Below are 15,150 nucleotides of genomic sequence, written 5' to 3' on the forward strand. Positions count from 1 at the left end.
GAAGATTGGTGTCAAAAAGAAACTCAGTTATTGCTTTAATGTCTCTCAGCACCAAATTTCTTTTCCATTTGGACTTAATAACACCTTACATATACAAATGATTCACAAAAGACAAGTCCTCTACAGTTTACTATCATGAGACTCAGAAACCAGTATCACACAATGCTTTTAATTCTTATCATATTACTAAAATTTTATCAGAAACAGATGTCAGCAATACAATTTTGATGGAATTACTTAACTTTTTTTTTTTTTACTTTCATAACAAATTAAGCATTGCTCAGTTGAAAAGTTATAATGTCACAAGCCTTGAGGCAGCATTAGGTGCTATAATTTGAACCGATGCAGTGTAGAGTTTGCATGCTAGTAGAAAAGAATTTATTAGCTACATTGTTGATAATTATTTAACTAGCAAACTCCAAGTTTTCTTAAAAACACTTCCAATCAATTAAATATCTAAGAAAACTAATAAAATAACTCAAAGTTTTCTAGATGTATAATTAACATAGCAATACATAAGTTAGCAATATAGCTGCAAAACAGGTGGAAAATATAACCATTAAAATGACTTCCATCCTTTCGGTAGGAAGTAGCTTAAAAAAACAAATAAAAATAAAAACAAAAACAAAAAATAAAATGACTTCCAAAGAACAAACCAGGCAAATGGTTTATGTCCCTAAATAAGCTGAAGCCTAGAGATAAAGAAATTTAGTGGGTAAAAAGGAAAGATAATCTATACTAAAAACAAAACCAAAAAATGAACGAAGACGATGAATGGATAAACAAAACGTGGTATAAACATATAATTGAATATTATTTAGCCTTAAAAAGGAAGAAAATCACATGCTAAATACAGATGAAGCTTAAGGACATTATGCTAAGTGAAATAAGCCCATTGCAAAAAGAAAAATACTCTATGATTACACTTACAGGAAGTATCTAAAGTAGTTAAATTATCATAGAGACAGAAAGTAGAATGGTAGTTACCAAGGGCTGGAGGGAGGAAGCAATGGGGAGTGGTTACTTAATGGGTAAGAGTTGCAGTTGTGCTAGATGAAAAAATCCTGCAGATCTGCTGTACAACAATCTGAATACATTTAACGCTACTGAACTGTGCACTGAAAAACAGTTAAGATGGTAAATTTTTTTAACCACAATTAAAAATAAGAGCTTTTTAAAAGAATGTAAAGTAAAAATGGAAGATCTGTGCACAATTTTTCTTACGGGCAAAGAAATGGTACATCTTACAGGTAAAACATGTATGTTATGTGTTACAACTTTAGGGAAGCCAAAGGTTTTAATATCTGATGCCCCATGAATGTGATATAGCAGCTCTCTCCATATCAATTCTGACAAACACTATCAACTTTATTTCTTAAAACTGTCCCTTAGCCATATTCATTCACCCCTCTCCCACCAATGTTGTAGGATTCCAAGCCAAGACTTTCTGCTTTGAAGCCCTTTACCAATGCAATCAGTACCCAACATACAACTTTCCATCCAGTATTTGTCAGTCAAGATATCACATTAGGTTTTCCCTTCCCTCTTCTCTTCACTTTCCCATCATCACTGTAGAAGCCTCTGCTACCTGGGACTTCCTCTCCCTCCTCAAAAATGAAGAAGAAATTAAGACATTCCCAGATAAACAAAAACTGAGAGAATTCACTGCTAGCAGACCTGCCCTGCAAAAAACAAAAAGGAAGTTCTTCAGGTAGAAATGAAAGGACACTAGATACTAACTTAAATCCACACAATGAAATCAAGAGTACAGCAAAGGTAACTACAGAGGTAAATGTAAAAGACAGTATAAATGTATTTTTTTCTTTTCTTTGTAACTCTTTAGAGCACTCCTACCATAAGTATAAATTACAATTTTTAAAATGTCACGCTACAATTCAATAGGTAAATACTGAACCTGTTTTAAGAAGTACGTTTTATATTTCACTTCTAGAATAGAGATAACTAAAGGAAATACAGCCTCTTTGAAAATAAGGAAATGCTTCAAAACAAATCTGTGGTAGATGAACTATCCCTCACATGTCATAGGCATATAGTACTCTTATAACTTGATTATTTAGCTCAATGAAGTTTTAAAATACTAACCACATCTTATTTTACCTCTTTTATATCTCTGGGACCTGTCCCTTTTTCTCTATCACCGCAGCTAATACCTTAATCCAGGGTATCATCATTTCTCCCCTGGATTATTGGCAGCCTCCTAATGGGTATTCCTAATATTAGTCCTGCTCCACTTTAATCTGTTTCCTATACTGATGCCATTAGTGACATAACAACAACAACAAAAATCAGATCCCACCATTCTGCTCAAAATTTTCAAGTGGCCTCCCATAATCTTCGGGGAGGAAAAATTTAAATTCCCAAATAATATACAGGTCAGGACATGACCACTACCTCTGTCTCCAGTATTAGAATCACCACATACATAAATAATCTACACCCACATTCTCTGCTACAGCCCTTAAGAGTTATTTAGGATCCCAGAATACCACACATCTACTTTTATACATGCTTACCTTCTCTGATTAGAAAAACCTTACTTTGTCTACCCCCATCTCTACTTCTTTAGTCTTCAGGACTCAGTGCCTATACCTACCACCCACCCTAACTCCCAATAATGCTGAGTTATATCATCTCATAGATTCTAGTCACAATTACCACAGTACTTACCAAAATGTACTATAAACACCTGCTTGCTATGTATTTATCCCACAGACTGTAAGCTTCTTAAGCATAAAGATTGTTTCCTTACTCCTATTTTTTGTCCCTAGTATACGCAAAAAATGTCTGCCATGGAGTAAGTGTTTAATCAATGTTTGAAAAAAATGAATGAAAGGATGAAGCAGGTTGTACATTGAGAGACCCATGGAGAAGCTGTTCAATTTTTACTATCTATAACAAAGACAAACATCAAAATTAATAATCTGATAAAACTGAAATACCAAAATTAATCTTTACTTTGTAATCAGTAAAAATAAGTAAATCGATATACTAATGTAATTCTTAATTTTTGTAGTTCATTCTTCAAAATATTTTATTCAAGCAAGTGGGATCCAGCAAAAAAATGGAGACCCTCCCCAAAACTTTTACAACCAGAAAATGAGCTTCTTTCAAATTCTGATGTGGAATTCCCAAGTAATCTTGCAGCAAATTAAACAATATGATCTATGATCCATATGTAGGCCTTGACTATTAAACTTATTTTGTCTTATTAACAGTATTGGAGGGATTTTTTTAACACCATGGATTAAAAAGTGAAAATGAGTTTTTTAAAAGTAAAGCTTAAATAACACTCTATCTACTGTTTTGCAAATGTGTTATGAAGGCTTTGAAACCACAAAATTTCCAACAGACCTAAAAATGTATAATGTGCTATATGTCAAGCTGTATTTCTTTTTTTTTTTTTAAACTTTAAGTTTTAGGGTACATGTGCACAACGTGCAGGTTTGTTACATATGTATACATGTGCCACATTGTTGTGCTGCACCCATTAACTCGTCATTTAACATTAGGTATATCTCCTAATGCTATCCCTCACCCCTCCCCCAACCCCACAACAGGCCCCGGTGTGTGATGTTCCCCTTCCTGTTAATTCAAGATGGATTAAAGACTTAAATGTTAGACCTAAAACCATAAAAACCCTAGAAGAAAACCTAGGCAATACCATTCAGGACATAGGCATGGGCAAGGACTTCACGTCTAAAACACCAAAAGCAATGGCAACAAAAGCCAAAATTGATAAATGGGATCTAATTAAATTAAAGAGCTTCTGCACAGCAAAAGAAACTACCACCAGAGTGAAGAGGCAACCTACAGAACGGGAAAAATTTTTGCAATCTACTCATCTGACAAAGGGCTAATATCCAGAATCTACAATGAACTCAAATTCACAAGAAAAAAACAACCCCAACAAAAAGTGGGTGAAGGATATGAACAGACACTTCTCAAAAGAAGACATCTATGCAGCCAAAAGACACATGAAAAAATGCTCATCATCACTGGCCATCAGAGAAATGCAAATCAAAACCACAATGAGATACCATCTCACACCAGTTAGAATGGCAATCATTAAAAAGTCAGGAAACAACAGGTGCTAGAGAGGATGTGGAGAAATAGGAACACTTTTACAGTGTTGGTGGGACTGAAAACTAATTCAACCACTGTGGAAGTCAGTGTGGTGATTCCTCAGGGATCTAGAACTAGAAATACCATTTGACCCAGCCATCCCATTGCTGGGTATATACCCAAAAGATTATAAATCATGCTGCTATAAAGACACATGCACACGTATGTTTACTGCAGCACTATTCACAATAGCAAAGACTTGGAACCAACCCAAATGTCTAAAAATGATAGAGTGGATTAAGAAAATGTGGCACATATACACCATGGAATACTATGCAGCCATAAAAAATGATGAGTTCATGTCCTTTGTAGGGACATGGATGAAGCTGGAAACCATCATTCTCAGCAAACTATTGCAAGAAGAAAAAAGCAACCACCACATTTTCTCACTCATAGGTGGGAACTGAACAATGAGAACACAAGTTGTATTTCTAAGGTAGGAGAAAGGTTACATAGTCTTTAATACTTTCTCCTTTACAACAAACTTTTCCTTATATATAAAATACAGCAAAAATAGTACCTTTTGTTCAAAGGATTGTTGAGAAGACTAGAATTCACGTACCACACTTTTGCCTCATGCACAATAAAAACTTTTTACATGTTTAGGTGTTATTATTACTATAATTATTATGACATATCCAAGTCCCAAAAAGTTATCAGCAGTATACTCTGCAAAGGAAAAGAAAACACACCACTCAGATAAGTCTATATTCATTAATGAATATATCTACATACCAAACCTGCCCCCATTTCTTTCTACTGATTCCCATCTAATTGAAGAAAGATTTTAGTAGTATTCTGCTGTGGATTGACTCTTAAATCACTTCACTAATAAAGTCCTATGAAAATTTAACCACCACCAAAAAAAAGGGGATCAGCACTTAATCGCAATCCTGGATTGCAATATGAGTGATCAGATGCTACCCCGGTCTGGGTCTTCATTTCTTCATCTGTCCAATGGCAATCACAGTTCCTATCGGATCTCATAGGGTTAACTATCTGTGAGAATTTAAAGATTATAATTTATGTAGAATTGTTTGCTAAGCTTGAAAATACTTCATAAATACAGACTAATAATACTATTGCTGTACAATGCCAAATAATAAATATTCTACGTTTTAAGCAGATTGTCTTTGCTTCCTTCAGAACCAGGTCTTGACTCTTTAGCCCAACTTCGTTTGGTTTGGATATATAAAACGACATCTTATAAGGTGTTCCCTTCAAGGGTACTTTATATTACTATGCATAAGAAATGCTTTCCATATTAACTGAAAAGGAGATGAACTAATAAGTTCACCGAAAGCATAAATGACTAAGAGGAGAGAGAATGATCTCTGGCTTTGAGAATTCTCTTAGAAGTACTGCCTATAATCCCAGCTACTTGGGAGGCTGAGGCAGGAGAATTGCTTGAACCCGGGAGGCGGAGGTTGCAGTGAGCCAAGATCACACCATTGCACTCCAGCCTGGGCAACAAGAGCAAAACTCCGTCTCAATTAAAAAAAAAAAAAGTATCTAGGTATAGTAAGTAGTTTAACTAAAAACAGTCTTAGAAACATGGATCCCAATTCCTACCCTAAATTCCACTAGGACACAACATTCTTATAATTGTATGTACTGTTCTTTCTTGCCAAGGTACTCAGCACTAAGAAGGCAAATTCCCAGAAAGAATGAAAAGTGTAAGAATGTATGTGCACTAACTTTAACTTCCTACTGTGTGTCAAACACTATCTTTACCTACTTTCTCATTTAACTCTCAAAACAAACTTGAAAGGTATTACATCTTTTTTACAGATGATTACGTTACGTAATTCACAGAGATCGTATTAGAGAGAACAAAATGCTGAAACTAAAGGTCTGACTACAAAGGCAGTTCTTTCTATTTCACCACACTATTGATCCTATGAAGCAGAAGTCAAAATTTTAAAATGTCATCAGAGGGTTGTATCCCCATTGAAGTAGCTGGTTACATAAACCACCAAGGTTTCTTTTTGTTTGTTTGTTTTTTGAGATGGGGTCTTGCCCTGCTGCCTAGGCTGGAGTGCAGTGGCACAATCATGACTCACTGTAGCCTCAGTCTTCCCAGGCTCAAGCAATCCTCCCACATCAGCCTCCGGAGCAGCTGGGACTACAGGTATGTGCAACTGCGCCCACCTAATTTTATTTTTTGTAGAGACAAGGTCTCACTATGTTGCCCAAACTGGTCTCAAACTCCTAGACTCAAGGAATCCTCCTACCTCAGCCTCCCAAAGTGCTGTGATTACAGGCATGAGCCACAACCACACCCAGTACCCATCCTGATTTTTTTTTTTTTTGAGACCGAGTCTTGCTCTGTCGCCCAGGCTGGAGTGCAGTAGCGCGATCTCGGCTCACTGCAAGCTCCGCCTCCTGGGTTCACGCCATTCTCCTGCCTCAGCCTCCAGAGTAGCTGGGACTACATGTGCCCGCCACCACGCCCGGCTAATTTTTTGTATTTTTAGTAGAGACAGGGTTTCACCATGTTAGCCAGGATGGTCTCGATCTCCTGACCTCGTGATCCACCTGCCTCAGCCTGCCAAAGTGCTGGGATTACAGGCGTGAGCCACCGCACCTGGCCCCATCCTGATTTTTAAGGAAACTTCAACACGAGTTCTTCCAGTCCCTTTTAAATGATGGACACTGTCAAGAAGTAAATTTCACCTAATAACTGGTTTATCCAGAAAGAAAACTGACTCCTCATTCAAATGGCATTATATTAAACCAGAATAATCTCCTTACCTTGACACAATGGTTTTTGTAAATGTAAAAAAAAAAAAAAATCACACAGAGGTATTCTGATTCATCCAAGGACATTTTCTATATTAGCCTAGTAACATATAGAATAAAGTAATATACAAGAAAACTTAGGGGTAGACAGGTATATATTCAGCCACATGCTTCTCAATAAGAAAAATGATTTATCTACTGTAAGAAAAAGTAACCTTATAGTAAAAAACAGCAGCAGAATATTACTTGTAATAGATGTTAAATATTTAGTGTCTCTGTTAGTTCTATATACAGTTATACCTAATCATGTTAAGTGTAGAGATTTAGCCTCATAAATATTTCTATAACAGAATATAACCTATATTTCTTAATACACAAGGCAAATGTAAATAAAACAAAGATTTGCTGGTCTAAATACCCAATTCTTTAAAAGTAAACCAAAATTTTCCCATATAAATTTTCCTTTGGAGAACACAGGAATAAATCCCATCTGATGAAGGAAATTATCAAAAGAATACACATTGATCTAACATGTCTGGCTCAGTTTGCCTATTATAAACAATTCTGGTCTCTGGACATGAAAAACTAATAATTTTCAGCCACTTGTTTTATTACATCTAAGTCTCAATTATTCACAACTAAAAAAGATAGAATAATGACATTTTACAATGTCCCAAACACATGAATCAATCATACAGCAGGTGGAAAAAATGCTAGAAAAGATAACATTTGTGTCAGCTTTACCTCTCTCTCACAGGAGTCTCAACAGTGTAAACCTTAATTCGTATATCTTGACTGCCCAGAGCCTTCCAGAGAAAAGGATCATATTGTCTTTTTAAAAAATCTCAATTGTCAATAACTGAAGGAAAGCAAGCATAGCTTTCCAAAACAACTGAGTCCAGATATTTTTTCCATTGTTGCTGTCAATTACTTTTCTAATTTCTAATTATAATTCTAATAAAAACTTCAGCATAACTAAGAAAGACAAACTAAAACTACTCAGGAATTTTCATGCAAAACTTCCAATTATGTGTCCTAAACTCTTTTACTCCAACATGAGTTCACAAACTCTGACAGATGTTTTATAACCCTGTTTAAATATTTAGTCAGTAAAAGGATAAAATTTTTAAAAAACAGAATGATTTCATTCTTTTCAAAAACCAGGGTGGTCTATGGGCAATTTTGGTACTAGCAGTGTTGCCGGGGGAACAAAATGAAAACAGGTGTCATCAAATTCAAATTAAAGATTTACTTCTATTTTAAACCACCTTAAACAATGTTTCCATAAACTTTCTAACTGATACTACTATAAATTTGACAATATTTTATAACAAGAAAAGGATTATAAATTGTCTGTAGACCATCAAATTTTAACTGTAACAAATTTTGACTGATTGGCAACACTTCCTTTTAAAAAACTTTTTTCATTAAATATGCAGCATCATTTTAAAAATTGAATGTATAAAAGGCAAGTCAAAATAAGAAAAGAGAGCAAGTATAGACTCTGATAGTCTTTTCTGAAAGATTTTACTTTGTTTTGAGCCTATGCTGTTTTAAAAATAAAAAACGAAGTACAAAACAAATGTTAAATTCACAACATATAAGGAAAAAGTGATACAATTAGTAACATGACAATCATAACTTTTCCTCATAAACTTAATTGAACTACAATCTTCAATGTTAAAAAAATCCATTAATTTTTGTGTCTTATTTTGGTAATGAAAAGAGTATAAATACTTGGTTTCTACCATTAAATAGCACTTATTTTTACTCTTAAAAGAGATGATGAAGCAAGTGACTCACCATATAAAAGTTAATCAATGCTTAAAAATACATTAGAGTATTAGACACTTTCTCAGTTGTTTAATACAGTTTCAGTGACAAAATACACTTACTTTTGTTAAAAGCTTTAATTAAGAAATGAACATATAAGAAATTTTTAAATAGGTAATATTGCAGATTGGTTATGTTCTTCTTAATAAAACTGTTTAAGATTCTTTCAGAATGGATTAAATACTTACCCAGTGAGGATTCTAGATACAGGTAAGATGAGGTGTACATTCTTCAGTATTATTAATTTAAACAGAATTAATTTCTCTTTGTATTAGTTTTGACAGGTGAAAACTTCTTAAACTTTTAGGGGCATTTAATCTTGCACTGAGGAGAGTCCTTTTATCTTGACTGTGAATAATCAAATTCCATTGTCATTTCAAATCTTTCAGACAGTTCAAAGTTTTATTTTTAGCAGTGCTTCAGGGAGGCACAAGTTGGTTCACTAGTGTGGAATCATAACTTACAGTCAGCTCCACCAGTTGGATTATTTCCAATATTTATTAGTTTCATCAACTAGTTTTCAAAAAAGCTTAAAGTTTCAGTATTAATAGATAAATGTCTTTGAAACTAATATTTCTAGCTTAAAGTTTCCATTAAATTGTATTTATAAAAATAATACAAAATCTTTTTTCAGATTACTACATGTATTTTAATAGTAAAAGAAAAATATACAGCATTATATAATGTTGAACAATATAAAACTTCCTTTACAGTTAGTTTAAAATAATCTCACTTGCATATAATTATAAAATTACTATACTCATCTATTGCTTACTTTGAAAGTGATTAATCAAAGTCAGAGAAAGCCAACCATCAACTGAAGTGTGTTACAAATTTCCTTCTCAGAGGCACATCAAAAAAAGATGAGTCAATTCTACTTTAATTAAAACCTTGTTTAAGAATATGAAATAAGTGTTTTCTGTATAATTCCAATTATATTTCAATTGTGTTCAGCTTTCAAACTGCCTCTGCTACTTGATTACACGTGCCAAATTAATCTTGTCTTTTTTTTTTTTTTTTTTTTGAGATGGAGTCTTGCTCTCGCTCTGTTGCCCAGGTTGGAGTGCAATGGTGTAATCTCAGCTCACTGCAACCTCCGTCTCCTGGCTCCAAGCAATTCTCCTGCCTCAGCCTCCTGAGTAGCTGGGATTACAGGCACGCACCACCACACCTGGCTAATTTTTGTATTCTTACTAGAGATGTGGTTTCATCATATTGATCAGGCTGGTCTCGAACTCCTGACATCATGATCCACCCACCTCGGCCTCCCAAAGTGCTGGGATTACAGGCGTGAGCCACTGCGCCCGGCCCATTAATCTTATCTTTTAAATCATATCAACAGTTCTAAAAAAAGACTTGGATTTTTTATTGTTCTAGTGGGTATTGTTCTAGAAGCAAGACTCCTCTAATTGATCATAACACCAAGCCTACCCCTTAGCTGACAGTTCAGATGTGTGTTTTTGGTTGGTTCAAATACAGGAAGACACCCTTTGTATACATTTGACTAATTAGTCAAAGAATAAGAAGGCAGGGGAAAGAAATTTATCTAAAATATTTTTTGACTAATACATAGCAGTCTTCCAAAAATTCAAAGTGGAATTTTTAGAGAAACTACATGTTCTAACATGTTCTCTTAGGGTGCTTCATACAGATCGTCAAGGAAGTATCCCAAAAAAAATCAATGAACACCCGGAATACAGGGTCTTCAACAGAATCAAGCAACATGTTACACAACTGAGGGTAACAAAGTATCAGTCCCTACAACACTTGTGTCAAACAAATCTGTTTCTCCTTTCACCTTACTTACCTCCTTTCTCCTACCCTGTTCTATGTATGGCCTAGCCCTTCGAAGATACCCAAACACAGGAAAGATTAAAGATCCCTTTCAAACGATAGAAGATCTCTTTCACACGATAGATGATAAAATGAAGAGATGTTCAGAAGGCTGTAGCTGCTAGCATTCTTCCACCATAAGCTTCTCCACCTATATCTGTAGTAGATAACTGTACTTTTAGATAACTTTTCAACCCTTTTGAAGGGTTTCAGGTTAACAAATATTTGAAAATTAGTACTCACAACACTGTATATAAAAATGAATAGAGGCCAGGTGCAGTAGCTCATGCCTGTAAATCCCAGCACTTTGGGAGGCCAAGGCAAGTGGATTGCTTGAGTCCAAGAGTTCGAGACCAGCCTGGGCAACATGGTGAAACCCCATCTCTACAAAAAATAGAAATATTAGCTAGGCGTGGTGGTGTGTGCCTATAGTACCAGCTACTCCAGAGGCTGAGGCGAGCAGGTGCCCAGGCTCGAGGGGTTGCAGTGAACCGTGATCGCACCACTGCTCTCCAGCCTGGGTTACAGAGTGGGGCCTCATCTCAAAAAAAGAAAAAAAATGAAAGAAGTATGGACTCAGGAAAGAAGTACTGACACATGATAAGCAATAATCTAGATGCAAATAAAAATCATTAGATTTAATATAACATCTTTAGGCTCAAATGGAAGCTCACTAAATATTAAGTCAATCAACACTGATAGAGGCAGGAAGCAGAAAAATCCTAGTCAGACAGGGTGAAACCCCACCTTCAAGTCAAAAACAGCCTGAAACCCATGACCCAGAGAGAGAACTTCTATTTCTGTTTGCCTGCTCTTTCCCAACTGGTTCTTTCTGAATAATGCTTTTTAACCAATCAAATGTTGCCTTTTCCAATACTACCTGTGGCCCATGGGCCCCCCCGATCCTGTGCCCATAAAAACCCCAGATCCAGCCACACTGAGGGAGATGACCCAACTTCGAGTGAGAGACCACCTTCCTGTCCCCTCTCTAGACTGAGAGCTGCTTCATCACTCAATAAAATTCTCTGTCCTCATCACCCTTCAATTGTCAGTGAGACCTCATTCTTCTTGGACATGGGACAAGAACTCGGGACCCACTGAATGTGGGGGCTGAGTGTGCAGTTGTGGCAGCTGTGGGATCCACACTGGAGTGCAAGCCAGATGCGGCCTGGCAGGCTGAGTAAATGGGGCACCTGCTCCTGCGAGCCCAGCAAAGGGGCCAAGAAAAATCCTGCATCAACACTATTTAAATGTTAAAGGAAAAGTCAATATAAGTAACATGTATAACACACTAAAAATATATTAATGATAAGGCAAAATGAAATTAGAGAATGTATAATAAAGCTCTGTGGGATAAGAACCTTCTCTTATAACATTCTGTCAATGGCTGAACTTCCAGAAACATTACCTATGAAATTAAGGACAGCCTTTGTAAATAGAAGGGCTAACTCCTTACATGGAGACTTACCACCCAGAACTATTGTCTGAATCCATCTGAGGGGGAAAAAACCCATTTCCATGGTAAGGAACAAAGCAGAGACAAAGTTCATTACAGCTACATACAAATGGAAATGCCATAAATTACATAAAAGCTCATACAACAAAGAAACTAGCAACTTGGTTATTTGTATACATAGAAAGACAGCAGGAAATAAAATATTTTATATTATATGAAAACAAAATGCTTAAGAACTCACTGACACAGTTATTTGACAAATATGCTGAGGTTTTTGTATATAAATTTTTTAGTTTGGGGTTTTTTTTTGTTTTTTGTTTTTTTGGGACAGGGTCTCTCGCTCTGTCACCCAGGCTAGAGTGCAGTGGTGTAATCATGGCTCACTGCAGCCTCGACCTCCTGAGCTCAAAAGTTCTTCCCACCTCAGCTTCCAGAGTAGCTGGGACCATAGGCACATACCACCACACTTGGCTACTTTTTAAAAAATCTTTTGTAGATAACAGTGATATGGTTTGGTTCTGTATCCCCACCCAAATCTTACCTTGAATTGTAATAATCCTCAGGTATCAAGGGTGGGACCAGGTGGAGATAACTGAATCACAGGGGCAGTTTCCCCCTGCTGTTCTCATGATAGTAAGTGAGTCCTCATGAGATGTGATGGTTTTATAAAGGGCTTCCCCCTTTGCTTGCCACTCATTCTCTCTCCTGCCACCCTGTGAAGAGGTGCCTTCCACCATGATTATAAGTTTCCTCAGGCCTTCTCAGCCATGTGGAACTGTGCATCAATTAAACCTCTTTTCTTTACAAATTACTCAGTCTCGGGTATTTCTTCATAGCACCATGAGAATGAACTAACACAGACAGGGTCTCTCAAACTTGCCCAGGCTGGTCTTGAACTCCTGGGCTCAAGTGATCCCCCAACCTCAGCCTCCCAAATATGTAGACCCAGCACTTTGGAAGGCTGAGACATGGTGGGCGGTGGGTGTGGGGGGTTAGGGGGTTAGGGGGTGTGATTGGTGGGGGTGTTGTGCCAAGGGGCTTGAGGTCTCAAAGAGCTACGATCCCGCCACTGCACTCCAGCCTGGGCAACAGAGAGAAACCTTGTATGGGAAAGAAAGAATTTTTGTTTTGTTTTGTTTTACAGCTTTGGGAAAGATCTTTTCTATAGAATCATATATCTGATATTACAATAAAATTATGACTCAAAAATTTGTTTTACATAAAATCTCTCATCTACATGTCCTCAAGCTAATTACTTAAACAACATCACCATCTCTTCCACAGGCACTAGCACATTTAGAAAAGAAAGAGGTTTGGGTTTTGTTTTTTTCCTGTACTCAAAGTTCAGCTAAGTAAAGAAACAATTATTTCCCAAAGGTTTCAAAGCAATTGCCTCAGTAAATCAAAAGAATGCTTTCCTATTAGCAAAGCCATATAATTTAAGAGTAAAGGGTTAAGATGATTTAATTTTCTCAAAGAAAAAAGTGAAAAGTTAGGTGGCTATACAGTTAATGACCAGAATTCTGGAAAACTGCCAAATTCAGGCACATTCTAACCATCAAGTTATTACTATTTAGTGGAGGTCGGGGGCAGTCACTAAGAACTTTTTATGCAGGTTTAAATTTTACATACAGAGAAGCCATATAATTATTGTGAAATACTTCAAGGGATTCAAGAAGAAGCTATGACAGTTTGCTGTGTTTCTTTAAAAAAAAATGCACATTTACTGACTTTGAGTGGTATTTAGTTCCAAAAATATCAAAAATATCAGAAAGATAATGTCTATATTTAATATTTGGTATTACATATTTTGGTTATGGCTTCTAAACTTTCTCATAGCCCAGGCACTCAGCTATTCAACCTAAATTTTTCCAGTTGCCTCAATGTTATATAATTCCCTTTTCAATTTTGTTCAGTCATACTTAGGATCTACTTTATACAAGGATGAATAAAACACTATTTTACATCTAGGTCATAAGACCAGGATATAAAGTCCAGTGTCTGGGTTCTAATCCTGGTTCTACCAATTACTAGTTCTTTATTCTCTCTATACCTTACTTTGATCATCTGTAAGCTGTAGATATAGTACTAACACCCACAAAATAGGGTTTGATGTGAGAATCAAATAAGTTAGTATACAAAAAATACTCAGAACACAACCATATAAAGGAATAAAATGCGTGCTACAACATAAATGAACCTCAAAAACATTAAGCTAAGTGAAAGAAGCCAGACACAAAAGTCACATATTGCATGATTCCATTTAGATAAAATATATAAATCCATAAAGACAGAATGCAAACTGGTGGTTGCCAGGATCGGAGGGGTGGGGAGGGGCAGGTGGGATGGTGGAGAATGGGGATAAAATGCTTAACAAGTACCGGGTTGTATTTTGGAGTGAAAGAAATGTTTTAGAACTAGATAAGAGTTCTGAAGGCCACTGAACTGTTCACTTTAGAATGGTTAATTATATGTTATATGAAATTCATCTCAATAATTTCAAATTTTAAAAAAAGAAATAAAAAACAATTTATTAACACCATCCAAAAAAATACTTAGAACAATAGCAGTGATACAAAATGAGTTCAGTAAATGTACACTGTAATAATTATCAATGCCACATAAACTGGTAAATATGTAGAATACTATGCTACATTCCAAAGATTAAAATAAATATACATAGGTTTGGAGTTTATGTTTTCTTTTAAGTACTCATTTTAACAATTTATTTCTCCTAAATTCAGCATGAAATTATGTAATTCATCTACAAGGAACTCTCGCTTCCTCCAAAAGAGACACTCAGAGAGAAAATACATATGAAAAATGGAAACTAAAAATTTATTTTGTACATTTACTGCTATATGTCATCCAAGTTATGTTATTTTAACATACAGTGCTTATGTGTTAAACTATCTGGGAAATAAAGAGATGACATGCATGAAGAAAATATACACAAAAGGACAACCAAAGAATTATTTTGTAAATTTAACCCCACAAATTATAAATATTATATTGTTACATTCAGTTGTTTAAACAATATATAAAATACCACTAAAAGACTCATACACATATTTATAAACTCAATGAAATGTTCAATTTGTGATGAATCAGAAAAAAATGAGAAAACATCTTCATAATGGGAT

At 35.6% G+C, this 15,150-nt stretch overlaps 1 protein-coding gene across 21 annotated transcripts in view; it reads right to left on the reverse strand.

Moving 5' to 3' along the window:
• The window catches only part of STK3 (serine/threonine kinase 3), a 598,636-nt gene that overhangs the window by 315,292 nt on the left and 268,194 nt on the right, over positions 1-15,150 (reverse strand). Inside the window, exon 8 of one of the 21 annotated variants that reach the window (XM_047422136.1) lies at positions 6,668-9,066. The exons of the other annotated variants lie outside the window; for them this stretch is intronic. Coding sequence (XP_047278092.1) covers positions 9,058-9,066 — 9 coding nt within the window. The 3' untranslated portion in view covers positions 6,668-9,057. Of the gene's footprint in view, positions 1-6,667; positions 9,067-15,150 lie in introns of those variants that run through there. 21 annotated transcript variants of the gene reach the window in all.

The sequence above is a fragment of the Homo sapiens genome, chromosome 8 (assembly GCF_000001405.40).
Source record: "Homo sapiens chromosome 8, GRCh38.p14 Primary Assembly".
In the NCBI taxonomy this organism is placed as follows: Eukaryota; Metazoa; Chordata; class Mammalia; order Primates; family Hominidae; genus Homo; species Homo sapiens.